Source organism: Homo sapiens, chromosome 8 (genome assembly GCF_000001405.40).
Source record: "Homo sapiens chromosome 8, GRCh38.p14 Primary Assembly".
Lineage (NCBI taxonomy): Eukaryota > Metazoa > Chordata > Mammalia > Primates > Hominidae > Homo > Homo sapiens.
In genome coordinates, this window is record NC_000008.11 from 123,437,626 (window position 1) to 123,459,337 (window position 21,712).

Sequence of the window (21,712 nt, forward strand, 5' to 3'; positions counted from 1 at the left end):
CTGGGAGGCAGAGCTTGCAGTGAGCTGAGATCGGGCCACTGCATTCCAGCCTGGGTGACAGAGTGAGACTCCATCTCAAAAAAAAAAAAAAACAAAAAACAAAAAACAAAAAATTCCATGAATGATAAGGAGGTCATAGGAAATACTACTTCTGTGTGTGTATTAGATTCAGAAATGAAGGCACAGAGAATAGGACTGGAAGGCATAAGAACATGTGGGAGAGGAAGGGTGTTAAGGATCAGAACCAGGGCACCTGCAAACTGCTGGATTATTGGATGTAGCTACTGCGGGGACACTGAACATCAGGATACTCGCATGCTTGTGTCATTTAACAGCGGGACTAGTAGCACCTTGCCATGGTAGGGTTTTGTGCTGTGGTGAAAGAAATCCCCATTGCATCCTTATGATGTGTGAAATGTCACTTTGGCTATATAATAAAATCTGCATTAGAGGGAGGTGAGCGCTAGCAGGTTTTATTGTACCACTTGTCTCATTTATGTGCTTTTAGGCATCAATCCAGTTGATAATTTCCTGACATTTAAGAAGATAAAGGGTCCTTCACCCTATTACTATTGTTTGGCATTCATATGAGTTTGAAGTATTATTTACGTTTGTAAGTAATTCACAACATTCCCACTTAGGGGTGAGATCATCCCAACACCTGGATAATACAGTCTGTGTGAAAGTGCTCTGTGAGCTCTGCAGCATGTCAGAAAAATAGGGCAGTAGTGTTAGTACTTCAACAAGGGTCTGAGCGTGGTGGCTTATGCCTGTAATCCCAGCACTTTGGGAGGCTGAGGTGGGTGGACCACCTGAGGTCAGGAGTTCGAGACTAGCCTGACCAATGTGGTGAAACTCCGTCTCTACTAAAAATACAAAAATTAGCCGGGTGTGGTGGTGTGTGCCTGAAGTCCCAGCTCCTTGGGAGACTGAGACAGGAGAATTACTTGAACCGGGTAATTGCTTGAACCGGGAGGCAGAGGTTGCAGTGAGCCGAGATCGCACCACTGCACTCCAGCCTGAGTGACAAGAGCAAGATTCCATCTCAAAAAAAAAAAAAGAAAAAGAAAAAAATAGTTTAACGGAAGAAAGTAAAATATACATTTGGCATATTTGAGGGGACTGAACACTAAGAGAGGGTTCAAACTCTGATTTTTGAGGCTCTCTATGAAAAGCTCTCATAATTTAAAAAATTATATTGGAATTGCTTATCAGTACACAGAGCTGCTTCCTGGCCTCAGTGTGAGAACTGGGGAAGCTCCCTGGTAAGGAGAGGGCTCGAGGGGTCTGCCTTAGCATCTATGGCAACCTGCTCTACAGGGCCTGGTCTGGCCACAGTGTGCCTTTAGCAGCTACCTGTTTCCCCTTGAGATGTGAGCACCTAAGACAGAACCTAGTGCATCGCAGGCATTTAGTGAACCCCTTGTCAGCCCTGGTCCAACTGGGGCAATTCCTTTTGTTTTGATGACTACTAGTCATTGGATGCTGTTTTGTGCTGGGCTTTTGCCAGCCCAATTACTATATGGGCTGCCGAGGTGAGCACTGCCAGCCCAATTTTCTTTCTTTCTTTTTTTTTTGTTGAGACTCTTGTTGCCCAGGCTGGAGTGCAGTGGCACGATCCCAGCTCACTGCAACCTCCATCTCCTGAGTTCAAGCAATTTTCATGCCTCAGCCTCTGGATTAGTTGGGATTACAGGCATACACCATCACACCTGGCTAGTTTTTTTTTTTTTTTGAGACGGAGTCTCACTCTGTCACCCACGCTGGAGTGCAGTGGTGCGATGTCAGCTCACTGCAAGCTCCGCCTCCCGGGTTCATGCCATTCTCCTGCCTCAGCCTCCTGAGTAGCTGGGACTACAGGCGCCCGCCACCACACCCGGCTAATTTTTTTTTTGTATTTTTAGTAGAGATGGGGTCTTACCGTGTTAGCCAGGATGGTCTCGATCTCCTGACCTCGTGATCTGCCCGCCTCGGCCTCCCAAAGTGCTGGGATTACAGGCGTGAGCCACCGCGCCGGCCACACCTGGTTAGTTTTTATATTTTTAGTAGACATGAGGTTTTGCCATGTGGGCTAGGCTGGTCTTGAACTCTTGGCCTCAGGTGATCCTTCTGCCTTGGCCTCCCAAAGTGCTGGGATTACAGGGGTGAGCCACTGTGCCTGGCCCATATTAACCAAAAATTAGCCAGGCGTGGTGGTGCACGCCTGTAATCCCAGCTACTCAGGAGGCTGAGGCAGGAGAATTGCTTGAATCTGGGAGGTGGAGGTCGCAATGAGCCAAAATTGCACCACTGCACTCTAGCCTGGGTGACAGAGGGAGACTCTGTCTCAAAAAAAAGAAAACAGACTTTAAATTAATGCATGTTTTAGATACATGCATTATTGGGTATGTTGGATTTAGTTATGGAATTGACTCTTTTTTTTTTTTAATCAAGGTAGGGTCTCAGTATATTGCTCCTACCTTGGCCTCCCAAAATACTGAGATTATAGGCATGAGCCACCACGCTGGCCAGGATTAACTCCTTTTTTTTTTTTTTTTTTTTTTTTTTTGAGACGGAGTCTTGCTCTATTGCCCAGGCTGGAGTGCAGTGGCACAATCTTGGCTTGCTACAACCTCTGCCTCCTGGATTCAAGCGATTCTCCTGCCTCAGCCTCCCAAGTAGCTTGGATTCTAGGCACCCACTACCACACCTGGCTAGTTTTTGTATTTTTAGTAGAGACGGGGTTTCACCACGTTGGCCAGGCTGGTCTCGAACTCCTGACCTCAAGTGATCCACCCCTCTTAGCTTCCCAAAGTGCTGGGATTATAGGCGTGAGCCACCACGCCTGGCTGCTTTTCGTCTTTCTGAGTAAAGGTTGAGAGTAGCGTTCCTTTCTTCTTTTTTTTTTTTTTTTAGACAAAGCCTTGCTCTGTTGCCCAGGCTGGAGTGAAGTGGCGTGATCTTGGCTCATTACACCCTCCAACTCCCAGGTTCAAGCAATTCTCCTGTCTCAGCCTCCTAAGTAGCTGGAATTAGAGAGGTGTGCCACCATACCCAGCTAATTTTTGTATTTTTAGTAGAGATGGGGTTTCACCATGTTGGCCAGGCTGTTCTCTTAACTTCTGACCTCAAGTGATCTGCCCACCTCGGCCTCCCAAAGTGCTGGGATTACAGGTGTGAGCCAACATGCTTGGCTCAGAGCAGCCTTTCATCGAGGGCTAATTTAGCCCCCCTACTCTGACATGACCCTTCTGAGGACGCTACTGAACGCTGCATGTTACGAGTTCTCTCCACTCTGGCTGGTGGTGACATGAATTATTTCTAGCCCTGTGGAAGTTCTGGGGATTATTAGACCCACCGCTTCTTGGTGCTTCTTTCCCTGGCCTCATGAAGTTTCGTTCCATAGAAGAGAAGATCAGTACTTAGCCAAAGACTCGGGGGTCCCCTCTGCTGATCTTTGGAGCTCTGACTCTCTGTGTAGTCCCCTCTTCACTGATATTCTGTTTCCCTCAGTTTGGGTGTGTGTGTTTTGTCATGATTGGATTGAAGTTATACATTCAAGGCCAGAAAACCACAGAAGTGACATTGAGCCCTTATCCATTTGAATAATTTTACCTACTTTTGGTCTTCTGCATTGTTTTATTGCTGTTAAACCAAAATTGTGTTTTCAGTGGACATTTTTTTTTCATATATTTTTTTAGATTCCAAAATGAACCTGAACGATTTCATCAGTATGGATCCCAAGGTAGGATGGGGCGCCGTCTACACACTATCCGAATTTACACATCGGTTTGGCAGTAAAAACTGCTGAACTTGGTCTCAAGATGTGGAACTGTGGAGAAATTCTAGGACATGAACAAGCTATCCTTTCATCGAGGACAGCAAACATTATGGTACAGTTGGCTTGGAATTATGTCTTTCTCTTTTAATTTGATTGAGTGGAAATCTGAGTGAATACAAATATAAATGAACAACATAAAAACTTTTGTTTTGACATGTCAAATTGAAACTTGATAAAGTGCGTACTTGCTAAGATATTCCTGTGGCTCATGCGTTACAACACGAGGACTTAAGCCAGTAATCGTTTTTGTTCAGATAGAGGTGTGGAGGTAGAGCCAGCCCCTCATGTCTGTTTTGGATGTTTTGTGTCTCTCCAGCTACATTGTAAGTTCCTTGAGGGCAGGGCCATGGCCCATTGCTCTGTGAATCTCAAATGCCCATAAAAGGTGCCCATAAAATGTTTTCTTGAACATTTGAATGTGCTGTTGTCTGGAAAGGGGTAATATTGTGAGCTGAATCAGCAATAAGTATTAGTCTTTTTGGACTATGGTATTGTTAAAAAGACTGCAGCCCTCTCAGACTTGAGCGTTAATTGGCTTATTTATTTATGGCTTTAAATAAAATCGATTTAACGTTAGTTTTGTTTTGAAGATTTTTGTGTCACCCTTGATGATCTGAAATACCTAAATATGCCTCAATTGTAGATGAGAACCAGGGCTTTAAAAAATATTTATTACATGTGCCTTCTGGAAGACATCTTGGTTATTTGGCTTTAATCATATCATTCCAAATGAAAGATATTTGGCATTACATTGGCATATAGTACCAGCTCTCATGTTTTCATGATTCTACTTTAAAAATGAACAACTTCTTATAGCAAGGATGTCTGACCTTTTGTTCTTAGATGAGCTTTCTACTTATTAAGAAACTATCAGCTGGGCATGGTGGCTCATGCGTGTAATCTCAGCACTTTGGGAGTCCTAGGTGGGCGGATCATGAGGTCAGGAGTTTGAGACCAGCTTGGCCAACGTGGTGAAACCTTGTCTCTACTAAAAATATAAAAATTAGCTGGGTGTGGTGGCGGGCGCCTGTAATGCCAGCTACTTGGGAGGCTGAGGCAGAATTGCTTGAACCTGGGAGGTGGAAGTTGCAGTGAGCTGAGATCATGCTGCTGCACTCCAGCCTGGGTGACAGAGCAAGACTCCATCTCAGAAAAAAAAAAAAAAAGAAAAGAAACTGACATTTAATGGTAATCCTCCACCTTATGGAGGGTACAAATGTAACCATTTATTTATTCATTTAGAGACAGAGTCTTGCTCTGTCACCCAGGCTGGAGTGCAGCGGCACGATCTCGGCTCACTGTAACCTCCACTTCCCAGGTTCAAGTGATTCTCGTGCCTCAGCCTCCTGAGTAGCTGGGATTACAGGTGTGCGCCACCATGCCCAGCGAATTTTTGTATTTTAGTAGAGACGTGGTTTCACCACGTTGGCCAGGCTGGTCTTGAACTCCTGACCTCAGGTGATCTGCCCACTTTCGCCTCCCGAAGTACTGGGATTACAGGCATGAGCCACCGCGCCCGGCCCCCTTCCCTAGAAATTTCTGCATAAACTGCCCTTTAATCTGCATGTTATTTTTATTTACTTATTTATTTTGAGACAAAGTCTCACTCTGTCGCCCAGGCTGGAGTGCAGTGGCATGATCTCGGCTCACTGCAACCTCTGCCTCCCAGGTTCAAACGATTCTCATGCCTCAGCCTCCCGAGTAGCTGGGATTACAGGTGTGTACCACCATGCCCAGCTAATTTTTGTATTTTTAATAGAGACGGGGTTTTGCCATGCTAACTAGGCTGGTATCAAACTCCTGACCTCAGGTGATCTGCCTGGCTCCGCCTCCCAATGTGCTGGGATTACAGGCATGAGCCACCGCACCCGGCCAAATTTGCATGTTATTAAAAGTAGGTATAAATGTGGCTGCCAGACTGCCCGGAGCTGCTCCTGTCTGCCTACAGGGTAAACCTGCTCTGCAGGAGCAGTCACAGGGTTGTAACACTACCGCTTCAATAAAGCTGTTTTCTTTTACCTTCAGCTTGCCCTTGAATTCTTTCCTGGGCAAAGCCAAGAAGTCTCATGGGCTCAGCCCTACTTTGGGGCTTGCCTGCTCTGTATCAGATTGATCTGTGCTTGAAGCCAAGCCCACCTTTTTTGTTTTTGAGACTCTCTTGCTCTGTCACCGAGGCTGGAGAGCACTGGTGTGATCTCTGCTTACTGCAACCTCCACCTCCCAGGCTCAAGCGATCCTCCCACCTCAGCCTTCTGAGTAGCTGGGACTACAGGCGTGCCACAGTGCCCAGCTAATTTTTATATTTTTAGTAGAGATGGGGTTTTGCCACATTGCTCAGGCTGGTCTTGAACTCCGGGACTCAAGCAGTCTGCCCACCTCGGCCTCTGAAAGTGCTGAGATTACAGGTGTGAGCCACTGCGCCTGGCCTGCGGTTCCTGGTTCTATGAGCCAGTGGATTCCTTTTTCTCTTCAGCTTGTGCGAGCTGGATTTCTGTCATTTTTAACTGAAAGATAGGTTTTCTTACAAGATTTTTCTTCAGAGTTGTTTATCGGGCTTAGGAACTGTTATTTATGTCTCTCTGTGCTTAATTTTTCTATTTAAACTTTTTCTTTTTTTTTTTTGAACCCAAACTAAGACAATTTTTCTTTTGAGGTCAGATTTCTTTCTCTTAATATTCAACATGTGTGAGAAGATTTTCTGTATGGAAAGAAGATATTTCAAGAAAAGCAGGGGACTAAAGTAGAATTTTGTTTGTTTGCTTCTTTTTGTTTGAGATGCCGTCTTGCTCTGTTTCCCAGGCTAGAGTGCAGTGGCACAATCTTGGCTCACTGCAACTTCCACCTCCCAGATTTAAGTGACTCTCCTGCCTCCGCTTCCTGAGTTTCTGGGATTACAGGCATGCGCCGCTACACCTGGCTAATTTTTGTATTTTTAGTAGAGATGGGATTTTACCATGTTGGCCAGGCTAGTCTCGAACTCCTGACCTCAAGTAATCCACCCACTTTGGCCTCCCAAAATGCTGGGATTACAGGTATGAACCATAGTGCCTGGCTGACTAAAGCAAAAAATTTTCTTTTTGAGAGGGAGTCTCGCTCTATCGCCCAGGCTGGAGTGCAGTGGCATGATCTTGGCTCACTGCAAGCTCTGCCTCCCGGGTTCACGCCATTCTCCTGCCTCAGCCTCCTGAGTAGCTGGGACCACAGGTGCCCACCACTACGCCCAGCTAATTTCTTTTTATATTTTTAGTGGAGACGGGGTTTCACCGTGTTAGCCAGGATGGTCTCTATCTTCTGCCCTCGTGATCCACTTGCCTCGACCTCCCAAAGTGCTGGGATTACAGGCGTGAGCCACGGTGCCCAGCCTAAAGCAGAATTTGTAAACTGACTATGAAAGCAACAGAAACAGAGTATCTCTGAGAACCTGACACACCAAGGAGTTGGGAAGCAAATATGAAAATATAAAATGGTTCCCAGCTCAGTAGAACTGGCTATCCCTGATTGAAGATATTATTGGAGCTTTTAAGGAAATTATGTCTTTCAGAAGAGGAGTTGGTTAGCAATGGTAGTAAATGCAAACCTTTTTGTGTGTTTTTCTTGGTTTAATTTTTAATTAATTAAAAAATAGATGGTACCATGTACATTGTACCAATTCAAAATGTATAAAAGAGTATTTGGTGAAAAGTAAACTTCCCTCCTGCTTTGTCCTCCAATTTTCTGATGTTCCCACCCAGAAATAACCTCTTTTTCAGGTTATTTTGTATCCTTCTTTCCAGGAATTTTCTATGTAAACATATAGGTATGTATTATATATTAAATTTTGTTTCCCCACCCCCCCGACAAATGGTAGCATCCTAAACATATTGTTCTGTATTTTACTTTTTTCCCTTCACTAAACAAAGAAAAATACATTTTACTTTTTAAAGTTAATATATTTGGATGTTTTCTAGTCAGTACATATTGATTGGAAAATCAACAAGAATGAGAAAATATCTACATTATTTTTAAAGGCTACATTGTATTCTGCGATACATATGGTCCATAATTTAACAGTCCTTTATAAGTTGTTTTTTGCTTCTTGGTGTGCCAAAAAAAATGCTACAATAAATGTTTTTGTTTATGTGTCTTCATAAAAATTTCCAAGGTGAATTTTTAAAAATTTTTTAAGTTTTTTGTTTTTTGAGACAGAGTCGCACTCTGTTGCCCAGGTTGGAGTGCAGTGTTGTGATCTCAGCTCATTGTAGCCTCCGCCTCCCGGGTTGAAGTGATTCTCCTGCCTCAGCCTCCGCATTAGCTGGGATTACAGGCGTGCACCACCACACTTGGCTAATTTTTGTATTTTTAATAGAGACAGGGTTTCACCATGTTGGCCAGGCTGGTCTCGAACTCCTGGCCTCAAGAGATCCGCCTGCCTCAGCCTCCCAAAGTGCTGGGATTACAGGCGTGAGCCACCTCACCCACCCCCAAGATGAATTTTGAAACCATAGGCTGCTGGTTGTCCCACCAAATCCATTCTCTTTTCTTTCCTTTTCCTTTTTCCTTTTTCCTTTCCTTTCCTTTCTTTTTTTCCAGACAGAGTCTCACTCTGTCACCCAGACTGGAGTGCAATGGCACGATCTCAGCTCACTGCAACCTCCGCCTCCCAGGTTCAAGCGATTCTCGTGCCTCAGCCTCCTGAGTAGCTGGGATTACAGGTGCGCTACCACACCTGGCTAATTTTGTGTGTGTGTGTGTTTTTATTATAGTAGAGACAGAGGTTCACCATGTTGGCCAGGCTGGTCTCAAACTCTGGCCTCAAGTGATTCCCCCCACCTCAGCCTCCCAAAGTGCTGGGATTACAGGCATCAGCCACTGCAACTGGCCCATTCTCTTCTTTTTCTAGAGCAGGAGTTGGCAAATGTTTTCTGTAAATGGCCAAACAGTAAATGTTAGACTTTGCAGGCCATAAGGCCTCTGCCACAACTACTCAACTCTGCCTTTGTAGCCGAAAACAGCAGCCACAGACAATATGTAAATGAATAGGTGTGGCTGAGCTCCAATAAAACTTTGCAAAACCTGGGTCTCCTTTCTTGTCTTTGGAGCCCTCCTCCCTCTGGAGAGCTTTTTCCTTCTTTCTTCTCTCTTCTTTCTTGCCTTTTAAACACTCTGCTCCTTAAAACCACTCCAACTGTGTCTGTGTTGTTTTATCCAATTCGCGCAAGACGAGCCCTGGTGCTCCTCCACTCATCGGAGCCGTATCAGTGCCATCTTCAAAGCAGAGACCAAGTCCTCACCAGACAACATAATCTGCTCAGCCCTGATCTTGGACTTACAGCCTCCGCAACAGACTCTGCTCCAACTATGAACTTAGGAAGTTAAGGAAAAACATGGATTTCTTTTTCCAACTAGAAGCTGGACATCCTAAGTGATTGGTTGGAGGAGTATGTTTGGTTTTCTCTGTCTGGTTCCATGTTGAAAGTAAGAACAACAACAACATGGGGGAAGCCTGCAAGTTTTGACCACGTCCTGATCTCTCCATGCTGATTGCCGCCGAGCTGGGGGTCAGGGTTCTGTTATCATCTGTGCCCTGTTCATTGTCTGCTTGAATATTCTGTCTGTCTATCTATAGAGAGGAAGAACAATAACCTTCATTATCAGAAACCTCATTCTAAGTTTACTTTTCTGTCTAGGTGTCCTTGTACTTTTTAAATATATAAATATGCTTTTTCACTGAGTAGCAATAGAAGTAGTATTTTTGCTAGGCTTGAGTTGCTTACTATTAAAAAAAATTATACTTACATATTTATAATAAAACCTAATCTTAGGCTCAGATGCACATACAACTAAAGAGCAGTGCTTGTCTTTTGCTTAATGTTCATATTACAAGGTTAACTTTTATTTATAATTAATATATGAACGTGTTCTTTTTTAAAAAATACACAATGTGATGGATAAATCTAATGTCCTTTTTGATAATCACCCTGGTTTTAAGAATATAACTGTCTAGAGAAACTAACTAATAGAGCTCATTGTGTATTATCTAGAAGTCATTGTATGCCAGGCAATTTTCTGACAATCTGATGGGGTTGGCACTATTTTTAATCCCTATTTTACAGATGAGGAAACTGATGCAGAGAGAGGTTTTCATATAGCTCACCAAGTCACTAGCCAGTAAGTAGTAGAGCCAGGATTCAAATTAAGGAAAAAAAGCACCTGAGAAGCTTCCTGCTGCTTTCTGATCACCTCCTTACTCGCTAAGGGTAACCACCATCCTGCTTTCTAACTGCATACATTCATTGTGCCTCTTTCTGTATTTTATATAATTTCATATAAAAATATGTTTGTATATGGCAGAAAAAAATAACAAAAAACAAAAAACAACTCTGCAAAACCAAGAGCTGGTAGATTTGGCCCTTGGGCTGTAGTTTGCTGTCCCTTGTTCTACAGCAACAGAGCTGTGACTGGTGTGTGGCTGCTCTGCCATGGACTACATTTCCCATTCTCCTTTGCAGCCAGTGTGGCCATGTGACCAGCTGAATATAAGAGGAAGTGTGTGTGCCACTTACATGACTGACCTGTGAAACTCGTGCCCACTCCTTCACACCTTTGCCTACTTTCTTACCAGATGAAATGGTGATGACTGGAGTGACCTCGGAAGCTACTTATCAAAGGCAGAAGAGCCACCATCAGCCTGGATTCCTGATAACTCTATGGAGCCGAGTTGCATGCCTGCCTAAATAGTATATTGTGGAACTCTTTCATAGGAGACAAACTTATGTATTTTTTAAGTCACAGAATTCTTGGTGAGTTTTGATTTGGCCATTTAGTCCTCCCTAAATAATTCAGTGCCCATTCAAGCATGTAACGATATTTTTAGCTGGGTCAGAAATAAGAATTTGTGGTGTTCCAGGCCGGGTACGGTGGCTCACGCCTGTAATCCCAGCACTTTGGAAGGCCAAGGCGGGTGGATCACTTGAGGTCAGGAGTTCGAGACCAGCCTGGCCAACAGGGTGAAACCCCATCTCTCCCCAAAATACAAAAATTAGCCAGGTATGGTGGCGCATGCCTGTAATCCCAGTTACTCGGGAGGCTTGAGTATCACTTGAGATATTGCTTGAACCCGGGAGGTGGAGGTTGCAGTGAGCCAAGATTGCACCACTGCACTCCAGCCTGGGCGACAAGAGTGAGACTCCGTCGAAAAAGAATAAGAAGAATTTGTGGTGTAAGCCTCTGTGTCCTTGCGCAGACTGCCCCCTTAGTGTCCCACAGTTTTTGTGGAATTACTGCCCTTCCCAGAATGTTCACAAACCCTGAACACAGACGTCTATCCAGTCCTGTTGTTTTGCATGAGGTTCAGGAGCCTTGTGGGAAAGAAGCCAAATGGTCTGTGTTCTCATTTAGGGTTCAGACGTTTATAGGCTTGTCCCGTGGGCTAGAGGTCCTCAAAGATGTCTTTGCTAGAGGAGAGAAAAACATGAACAGGTCCCTGAGAGAAAATCAATGTAAGTGAAGATGACATCTGGCTGAGAGGACCAGACTAGATGATTATACATTAGAGTGTTCCTTGATGGCAGGTGCCATGAGAGATGTGCCACGGTGCACCCTTACCTGTACTCTCTTACTCTCTTGAAAGCCCTGTCTCCTGGGAAGGAAAGAAAGAACTGTGTCACTGGGGGCCCCATGTGGCTCTGTGGGAGCCTTGGAGGTAGCTGCTGATTTTCCGTAGAACAGTGGACAGCAGTGTTCTGACTGAGTCTGGTATTTTGGTGGTTGACAGCAGTACACACCATGACCAGTGGCTGGCTCAGTAGTGAAGCAGAAGCATGAGGAAGCCTGCAGGCTGTGGTTTGGATTCTCTTTGAGTCCCTTTTTCATCAGGATTTGAAAGAGAAAATGATTTACACAGGACTCTCAGACTGGTAGGGGCTTGTGTACATTCAGCATATAGCAATTAACAGCTTGATGATTTGCAGAAATTCTTCATGGAGGATGCTTATTTAAAAGAGCTGGAGGGCTGCGTGTGGTGGCTCATGCCTATAATCCCAGCACTTTGGGAGGCTGAAGTGGGCAGATCACTTGAGGCCAGGAGTTCAAGACCTCTACTGTTGCTGTATCACTGCCCTGGTGATTCAGCAGTGAGTCCTGCGCTCATGGATATTACATTCTTGTGGAGAAGACAGACAATGAACTTCTACAATGTGTGGAAGATTGGTTGCTATTTACTGAGTTGGGGAAGATTGTGGGTGGAGTAATTTTGGGGAGGAAGATCAGGAGTTTTACTGGGGGCATGTTAAATTTGAGGTGCCAGTTGGATGTCTAACAGGAGCTGTCAAATAGGAGTTGGTAGCCGGGTGTGGTAGGCGGAGGTTGTAGTGAGCCTGAGATCACATCACTGCACTCCAGCCTGGGCGACAGAGTGAGACTCTGGCTCGCTGCTTTCTCTCTCTCTCTCTCTCTCTCTCTCTCTCTCTATCTCTCCATATGTATATATGTGTGTGTATATATATATGTGTGTGTGTGTGTGTGTGCATATATATATATATATATATATATGCTGGATAAAGGGGTCCCAGAGTCAAGTGGAGAGATGTAGGATAGGAATATCAAATTGGGAGACATCTGTTAATAGATGACATTTAAAGATACAGGCCTCTATGATATCATTGAGAGAATGTGTGTGGATAGAGGAAAGGTCCAGGGACCTAGCCTAGGGAGCTTTTATTTAGGGCTTAGGAGATGGGAAGACAGATGGAATGGTCATGGAGGAAGGAGGAGAAAACAAGGATGCCCAAAGGAGAAAGTGGTATTAGAAGGGGAGAGGGATCAGCTCTGTCAGATGTTGCTGATCAGTTGAGTAAGTTGAGGACTGGGATGACCGTTGGTTTTGGCACTGTGGAGGTCTGTGGGCAATTTCAGTGGAGTGATGGGGATGACAGCCTAATTTCAGTAGGTTCAGGAGGGAACAGGAGGAAGGAAGTAGAGTGGTTTGGGAAGGGGGCAGAGAAAGGGGGTGGTACTGCAGGAGGATGTGGGTCAGCAGGGGAGACTGCTGTTTGCCAGGTTGTCAGCTGATTCTTCCATTTTGAAGAACGAATTACCCATTTCTGCCCCTCCAAGGAGACCTCTCATGACATCAAAACCTGTCTGTCCTCCAGGGCCACTGTCTCTGAAGCAGGGCAAACACTCCTCAGTTCTCACTCTGTAGGACGCTCCCTTTGACTCGATCCATCCCTTGGTTCATGCAGCCCTTCTTCAGCATTGACAGAGAGGAAAGAAAGCTGGATAACTTTCAGGGATATTTCATCCAGGTCATGGGGAAGCCTCAGGCACCACTCCAATAACTCTTTGCTTTTTTTCCTTGACCTCTTCCCACTTTGCAGTGTTTTCTTCACAAAGCAGCCAAAGTGATCTTTATTTTTTCTTTCTGCTTCATGTCTCCTTCATACAGAGTGATCTGTTAAAAACCAGACTATCTCATTCCCGTTTTCAAACAACAACAAACCACCACCACTTTGCAATGGCCTCAGCATGTCCTTAAGCTAAATATACTGTTCTACCCTGGCTCTCAGGCCCTGTGTGGTCTGGATTACGGCTGTCTCTGTGATTTCAGCTCTGCTACTGCTGGCCCATTCCCTGTCCTGCTTCCCCCGTTAGGTTTCTTTTGGTGAGCAGGACAAGCTCATTCCTTCCTCAGGGACCTCACATTCTGTTTACCCTGATCTGACCCTTTTTTTCTCCCTTATCTTCTGTTGGCTGACACTGCCTGACATTGAGGTCTGAGCTCCGAGTCTGGTAATTCTTCCCTGGTGACGTATCTAGAGCTGACTGCCCCAGTCAACATGACAGTACCCTTTTTTCTTCATAGCAGTTATCACTAACTGAAATGATCTTGCACACTTATTTGTTTAAAAGTCTGTTTTCCTTTTTTTTAAATTAAGATGGAGTCTCACTCGGTCACCCAGGCTGGGGTGCAGTGGCGTGATCTTGACTAACTGCAGCCTCCGCCTCCTGGATTCAAGGGATTCTCCTGCCTCAGCCTCCCAAGTAGCTGGGATTATAGGCATGTGCCACCACACCTGGCTAATTTTTGTATTTTTATTAGAGACAGAGTTTCATCATGTTGGCCAGTCTGGTCTCGAACTCTTGACTTCAATTGGTCCGCCCACTTCAGCCTCCCAAAATGCTGGGATTACAGGCACGAGCCACCACACCTGGTCTAAAAGTCTGTTTTCTATCTCCCTCCATTGGACTGTGAGTCCTCCCTGCCTTATTCTCCACTGTAATACAGTGTCTTGGTATCTGATACCTTATAGTAAGCACTCAACAAATATTCCTCAAGCATTCAATAAAGGAACAACTCCTGTCACCAAAGGGGTCTGGAACATCAAGTCCGCCACTCCACTGGATCTCAGGATAATGCTAGAAAACTGCTGCTAAAGTCTTGTGCTTTGAATTATTCCCGTTGACTAGATTCTATTCCTTTTTTAGATGATCTTGTCCTTTTTCAAACCGGTTTTGTCTGCAGTCCCTTCAGCCTTAACTCCAAGCCCTACTCTTCCACCTTTTGGTGTGAAAAGCACGTTATGAATGACTTTTGCAGAGAGCAAAGAACACCATGGATTTATTTAATTAGTTCTCTCACATTCTTGGCAGGCACCTCATTCCAGCCTCTTGTCACAAACGCAGATATGGAAAGCACCATGTCTAGTGTCTGATATTGAGAGCAGGAGCTCACAGTATACTTTTCCCCTTTGCTCCAAGCTGACCACTCAGCCTAGCACCAGAGAATGAACTATGTCTTTTACCCTGGCAGTCCAGGGAGAATGTGGCTTTGGCCCTGAGCTTTACAGCAGGTATCTGTTCAGGCCAGGCTTTTAATAACATCCATTTATTGGTCAGGCACAGTGGCTCACACCTGTAATCCTAGCACTTTGGGAGGCCAACGCCGGTGGATCACTTAAGGTCAGGAGTTCAAGACCAGCCTGGCCAACATGATGAAACCCTGTCTCTACTAAAAATATGAAAATTAGCTGGGCATGATGGCAGATGCCTGTAATCCCAGCTACTTGGGAGGCTGAGGCAGGAGGATCTCTTGAACCCAGGAGGCAGAGGTTGCAGTGAGCTAAGATCGAGCCATTGCACTCCAGCCTGGGTGACAGCAAGACTCGGTCTCCACACACAAAAATAAAATTTTAAAAGGCTGGGCACGGTGGCTCATGCCTGTAATCCCAACACTTTGGGAGGCCTAGGCGGGCGGATCACCTGAGGTCAGGCATTTGAGACCAGCCCGACCAACATGGAGAAACCCCGTCTTTACTAAAAATACAAAAAAAAAAATAGCCAGGCATAGTGGCGCATGCCTGTAATCCCAGCTACTCGGGAGGCTGAGGCAGGAGAATTGCTTGAACCCGGGAGGTGGAGATCGCACCATTGCACTCCAGCCTGGGCAACCAGAGCGAAACTCCCTCTCAAAAAAAACAAAACAAAACAAAACAAAAAACAAAATTGCATCCATTTATTATCAAGGGAGCACTCATAGCAGAACTTCACTTAGAGTCAATAGGCAATCTCTCCTGAGGTTTCCATGGGGACCTGGAGTTTTAGAGCAATTTCTGGGAAGAACATTGGAAGGAAATTGTGGGGCAAGATGTTAATACAGTCACACCGTTCTGGCACACGCTGTTTCTGCAGCCGTAAGTGACGGTTGAATCAGTTCCCACTCAAGGCCCACAGGATGCAGAGCTATGTTTGACCTCCTTGGGGCCAGATGCTGAGGAGATCTTGTCCCTGCCCCTGGAATACAGGAAAAATAAGTTCAAGTCCTTGGCCCCCGTTACAGTTTTGCATTTGCTAGTGACATACTGTGTGACCTTGGGAAAGTCACTTAACCTCTCTGGGCCTTCCTTGCCTCACCTAAGAATTATTTTGAGGCTCAAATGAGATTGTGTGTGTGTTGGCAGGGAAGAGAATATTTCATACACCGAAAGGTGAAGTGTTTTGTTGCTTTTTTTTTTTTTCTTTTTTGGAACAGAGTTTTGCTCTTGTCACCTAGGCTGGAGTGCAGTGGCACGATCTCAGCTCACTGCAACCTCTGCCTCTCAGGTTCAAGTGATTTTCCTGCCTCAGCCTCCTGAGTAGCTGGGACTATAGACACCTGCCACCATGCCTGGCTAATTTTATATTTTTAGTAGAGACGGGTTCACCATGTTGGCCAGGCTGCTCTCGAATTCCTGACCTCAGGTGATCTGCCTGCTTTGGCCTCCCAAAGTGCTGGGATTACAGGTGTGAGTCATCGTGCCTGGCCCCAGATAGCTCATCTAAGCTCTTCATGTGTATGAACTCAATCCTCAAAACAACAATATAAGGTAGATACCATTATTCTCCTCATGTTACAAATTAGGAAACGTAGGCACAGTAAAGTAAAGTGACTTATAGAAAGCCACATAGCTAGTGAGTGGTGGAGACAGGATTTGAATCTAGGCATTCCCACTCCAGGGCCTGGCTGCCATCCAATTCCCAGTTCACCCAGTTCCAAGTTCATGCCCACATTCTGTAATCAGATAATGGGTCACTAGCAAGGTGCTGTCTGTTGTAGGGCAGGAGTGGGTCACTGAGCTTCCCCATGGTCGGGATGAAGTGTCCTTCACAGCTGTCCACCTGAAGTAACTTACCCTGTAGTTACTGCAAATAAACTTTATCAATAAATGTCAAACTTGTTAAAAAGGCAAATGTCCAGAACCTCCCTGAGTGGTTCTGGTTTAGTAAGCATCCCAGTCAGGTCTCAGCGGCAGAGAACAGAAATTGCTTGCTACGTGAATCCAAAAGGCATTTGATTCAAAGTGATGGAGACGGGAAACAAACATCTAGAGAAACAGTCATTCATAGTGAAGTTCTGCTATAATTGCTCCCTTGATAATAAATGGATGCAATTTTGTTTTTTGTTTTGTTTTGTTTTGTTTTTTTTGAGAGGGAGTTTCACTGTGGTTGCCCAGGCTGGAGTGCAATGGTGCGATCTCAGCTCACCACAACTCCACCTCCCAGGTTCAAGCAATTCTCCTGCCCCAGCCTCCCGAGTAGCTGGGATTACAGGCATGCGCCACTATGCCTGGCTAATTTTTTTGTATTTTTAGTAAAGACGGGGTTTCTCCATGTTGGTCGGGCTGGTCTCAAACGCCTGACCTCAGGTGTAGCAGTCGGAGATGCACTCACTTCTAGCCTTGGTGCCCAGACCTGTGAACTCTGGCAGTACTGTCACTGGTTCAGAGCATCTACTACATCTTATGGGACAGAACCCCAGTGTCACCAGGTGGTGTCTGCCAGCGGATACTGTAGCTCAGTCTCCAATGGGCCATTCATTCTACCATCAAGAAGATCACCTACCCCTGGGGACCACGGTAAGATCAGAGCATCTGGGGGGTACCAGCATATGGACCCATTTCTTTTGCTGTGAATGGATTTGTGATCAGAAGCAATGTGGGTGTCTGGCGTTGTGGCAGTGGATGAGGCATTCATTGAGTTGGTAAGTTGCTGGCAGAAGCATGGTGATTAGGAAAAGGAAATCCATGTGTGGAAGAAGTGTTTATTCAAGGGAGGGGAAAAGTCACCTGTCTTCCATTTTGTTTTCAATTAGCAATAATCACGCCTCGGATAAACCTCATTGGCTATGATACTGCCACACGCAAAGCTCTGTCTTCCCTTTTGGAAGGGATGCCTCATAATTAAGATGCCATAGCTCAGCCTTGGTCTCCACTTAGGGCTTCAGCAGAGAAGGCAGCTGAGTCAGCTCTGGTGAGGGAAAGATGGTGATTGAGTCCATGCACACCTCCGTCCCTGCCGCCATGGCTGCTTGGTTCGTGGGCCTACAGTATAAACATGGGCACTGTCGGTGACTTGCACAGAGGAGTCAGTCCACATCCTGGTTCTTTAGTGCTGTTTCCAGCGAGGACCTGTAGTGAGCAACCACTTGTGTTACCAATATCCTCAAACCCCATGCCCAGAAATTTTTTTTTTTTTTTTTTTTTTTGAGACGGAGTCTCCCACTCTCGCCTGGCTGGAGTGCAGTGGTGCAATCTTGGCTCATTACAACCGTCGCCTCCTGGGTTCAAGCGATTCTCTGCCTCAGCTTCCTGAGTAGCTGAGACTACAGGCGTGTGCCACCACGCCTGGCTAATTTTTGTAATTTTAGTAGAAACAGCGTTTCACCATGTTGCCCAGGCTGGTCTGGAACCCCTGAGCTCAGGCAATCCACCCTCCTTGGCCTCCTAAAGTGCTGAGATTACAGGCATGAGCCACCGCGCCCAGCCGAAATCAGCATTTTAATAGCCAGACTCACTCCCACTTCCCCACCCGGAAGTCTACTGCAGGTGTTCTGGGACCATGTATCATGAAATATGGATTTAGGTATATTGCTAATTTTAAGTGTAATTAGGCTGTTTTTAGTAAGTGGGTAAACTTTAGCACCTTTCCAAAGTGGTGGCTGGTGTGGCTAATTACAGAAAGTGGCAAGAGAGGTCAGGAACTGTATCTCAGCCCATTCATGTTTGGTTGTAAAATGTGCTAATACTCTTGATTTAGGCATCTGGTCAGGTGGGGGAATATTGACTTTCTCCAATCTCTGGATTTTAAGAGCATCTTTTTAGGTCTGATCCTTATGACAGGGCTCAAGTTAGTGGCCCTCCCCAAAAAGGGTGATATTTAGGTTCTTGCATCTCCAATGCCAAACCCCAGTGGTCATGACATTGCATTGCAGAGGTTCCTATAATCTGACGGTTGTTGTATTTCTGGATAAACCCTTTGTTAATGATCATCCAGCTTGTTCCTTATGCTTTTGAATATTGAGAGAACTTATATATTGCAAGGATTTTTGTTGTTGTTGTTATTTTGAGACAGAGTCTTGCTCTGTCGCTCAGGCTGGTGTGCACGATCTTGGCTCACTGCAGCCTCCGCCTCTGCAGGGATTTTTGTTTCGAAACTTGGAACCCAAGATGCACATCTTAAATATCTAAGGCAGCAGGCATTTTAAAGTAAACAAAGTCAAAAAAGTGTGGCTGAACTTGATTCTGTAATTACCTCATTGCGGGAACTAATAATTCCTGTCAGTTCTGAGCAATATTAATCCTTACAGGAATTACACCAGAATAAAGTATATGTTTGGGCACTTCCCCAAGTATCGAAGGCACCGTCAGGAGTTGTTTTACATGATTGCCTCAGGGGAAACAAGAGATAGTTATGCTTTATATATTTTTAACAAGAACTGTCACTTAAATGAGATCCTTTTGCTTTCCTGTCTTCTGTCACTTAAATGATTTTTACACCTGTTAGACTTCTAGGCATCTTGGAAACTTTCAGAAACAAACGAATCAATTTTTTTCAATTTCTGTGGAGGACAATCCAGATATTTATCTATAGAAATGACCTGTGACCATCCCCTTTGACTTAGGAATTCGTCATCTAGGAATTTATCTTACAGATATATACTGCACGCATATAAAATGGTGGATACACGAGGAAACTCATTGTAGCTGTGGGCATAACAACAGGAAGTTGGAAACCATCTGTAGGCTTATCAACTGGGGGCTGATGAAATGTTTATGTTTCTTAAGCTGAGTGATGGCTTAAAATTTTTTAAAAAATCTATCTATACATATAGATATATATATTTTTGAGACAGAGTCTCCCTCTGTCACCTAGGCTGGAGTACAGTGGCACAATCTCGGCTCACCGCAACCTCTGCCTCCCTGGTTCAAGCAATTCTCCTGCCTCAGCCTACCAAGTAGCTGGGATTACAACTGTGAACCACCATGCCCAGCTAATTTTTGTATTTTTAGTAGAGACGGGGTTTCCCCATGTTGACGAGGCTGGTCTGAAACTCCTGACTTCAAGTGATCCGCCTGCCTCGGCCTCCCAAAGTGCTAGGATTACAGGCATAAGCCACTGCACCCAGCCAAAATTAAAAAAAAAATCTTAAACATGATATAAATATTCTTTTGTATGTATTAGTTGGTGCAAAAGTAATTGCAGTTTTTGCCTTTACTTTCAAATTAAACCTATATTAAATATGTAATAAACCTATATTATATATGTAATACAATTAAATTTAAAGAGCAAGTGGAAATCTGTACTAAAAGATAAAAACGTGTATTTGCTTATATTTGTACAGAATATCTATAGGAATATCCAGTATCCAGTACCAAATTGGTAATATTGGTTGCTTCTGAGAAGAGAACTGGGTGGCTAGGGTCACGGGAGGGAGGGAAACTTCATTGTGTACCCTTTTGTGTTTTTAAGTGTTGTAAGCCCTGTGAATATATTACTTATTAAGGGTAGAATTGACTGGGCGCAGTGGCTCACGCCTGTAATCCCAGCACTTTGGGAGGCCGAGGCGGATGGATCACCTGAGGTCAGGAGTTCAAGACCAGCCTGACCAATATGGTGAAACTGCATCTCTGCTAAAAACACAAAATTTAGCTGGGCGTGGTGTCATGTGCCTGTAGTCACAGCTACTCGGGAGGCTGAGACAGGAAAATCGCTTGAACCCGGGAGGTGGAGGTTGCAGTGAGCCAAGATCATGCCACTGCACTCCAACGTGGGCTACAGAGCAAGACTCTGTCTCAAAAAAAAAAAAAAAAAAGATTTAAAATAAAAAAAAAAAACAAATAAATCACACTTCCCCTCACTGTTTTTTTTTTTTTTTTTGTAGAGACAAGGTCTTGCTATGTTGCCCAGGCTGGTCTGGAACTCCTGGACTCAAGCAATCCTCCCACCTTGGCCTCCCAAAGTGCTGGGACTACAGGCATGAGCCACTGTGCCTGGCTAACTTTTTTTTTTTTTTCAAACAAACACAACTTGAAACAAGTATAGCCTCAGATGTTCTCTCTGATCAAAGTTTCATTGACCAAGAGCAAGAAAAGCCAAAAGAAATTATTTTTCTGTTATACCGCTCCGAGCCTGTTTGTTTACCAATTCTAACCCTTTGATTGGGCTGCTGTGAGTGAAAGTGAGACCTTGAAATTGTGAGTCTAGGTGAAACCATTAAACAGCTAAGTAGCTGTCTGTGTGCTGGTCAGGGGTGTGTTTCTGTGGCATATATGGCATTAAGCTGCGATCTGGGTACAGAAATGCTCAGAAAGCCCATGAGCTCATGCGAAGAGAGAAAACCTTTTTAGCAGATGTGTGAGACAGGAAAAATAGTTGGTACTTTCTTTCTTTTTTTTTTTTTGAATCGGAGTCTCGTTCTGTTGCCCAGGCTGGAGTGCAACGGCGCGATCTCGGCTCACTGCAAGCTCCGCCTCCTGGGTCACACCATTCTCCTGCCTCAGCCTCCCGAGTAGCTGGGACTACAGGCGCCCGCCAGCACGCCCGGCTAATTTTTTGTATTTTTAGTAGAGATGGGGTTTCACCGTGATAGCTAGGATGGTCTCGATCTCCTGACCTCGTGATCCACCCGCCTCGGCCTCCCAAAGTGCTGGGATTACACGCGTGAGCCACCTCTATTAAAAATACAAAAAAATTAACTGGGCATGGTGGCATGCCTGCAGTCCCAGTTACTCCGGAGGCTGAGGCAAAAGAATTGCTTGAACCCAGGGGGCGGAGGTTGCAGTGAGCCGAGATCGTGCCACTGCACTCCAGCCTGGCAACAGAGTGAGACTCCGTCTCAAATAAATAAAATAAAATGAAAAAATTAGCCAGATGTGGTGGTGTGTGCCTGTAGTCTCAGCTACTCAGGAGGTGGGAGGATCTGTTTGAGCCCAGGACGTCGAGGCTGCAGTGAGCCGTGATTATGCCACTGCACTCCAGCCTAGGTGACAGAGTGAGATCCTGTCTCAAAAAAAAAAAAAGATGTAGATGAACAGCCAGATGAAGAGATCAGGTGTGGAAGGGTCCTGAGTGCAGGAGCTTCTGTCCCCATGGAGTTGG

General features: G+C 45.0%; 1 protein-coding gene and 1 pseudogene across 16 annotated transcripts in view; one reads left to right on the forward strand and one right to left on the reverse strand.

Moving 5' to 3' along the window:
- The window catches only part of NTAQ1 (N-terminal glutamine amidase 1), a 58,972-nt gene that overhangs the window by 20,901 nt on the left and 16,359 nt on the right, over nucleotides 1-21,712 (forward strand). For 10 of the 16 annotated variants that reach the window (XR_007060742.1, XR_002956636.2, XR_002956635.2 and 7 more), the window contains exons 6-7: nucleotides 3,681-3,872; nucleotides 10,422-10,599. Coding sequence is in view for 5 of the 16 variants with exons in the window: in NM_001283027.1 (NP_001269956.1) it covers nucleotides 3,681-3,790 (110 nt within the window). In the remaining 11 variants the exon portion in view is untranslated. Of the gene's footprint in view, nucleotides 1-508; nucleotides 705-3,680; nucleotides 4,616-10,421; nucleotides 10,600-21,712 lie in introns of those variants that run through there. The other 6 variants (NM_001283027.1, NM_001283024.1, NM_018024.3 and 3 more) reach the window with 4 other exon arrangements.
- LOC124902105 (uncharacterized) lies at nucleotides 17,356-17,482 on the reverse strand (annotated as a pseudogene).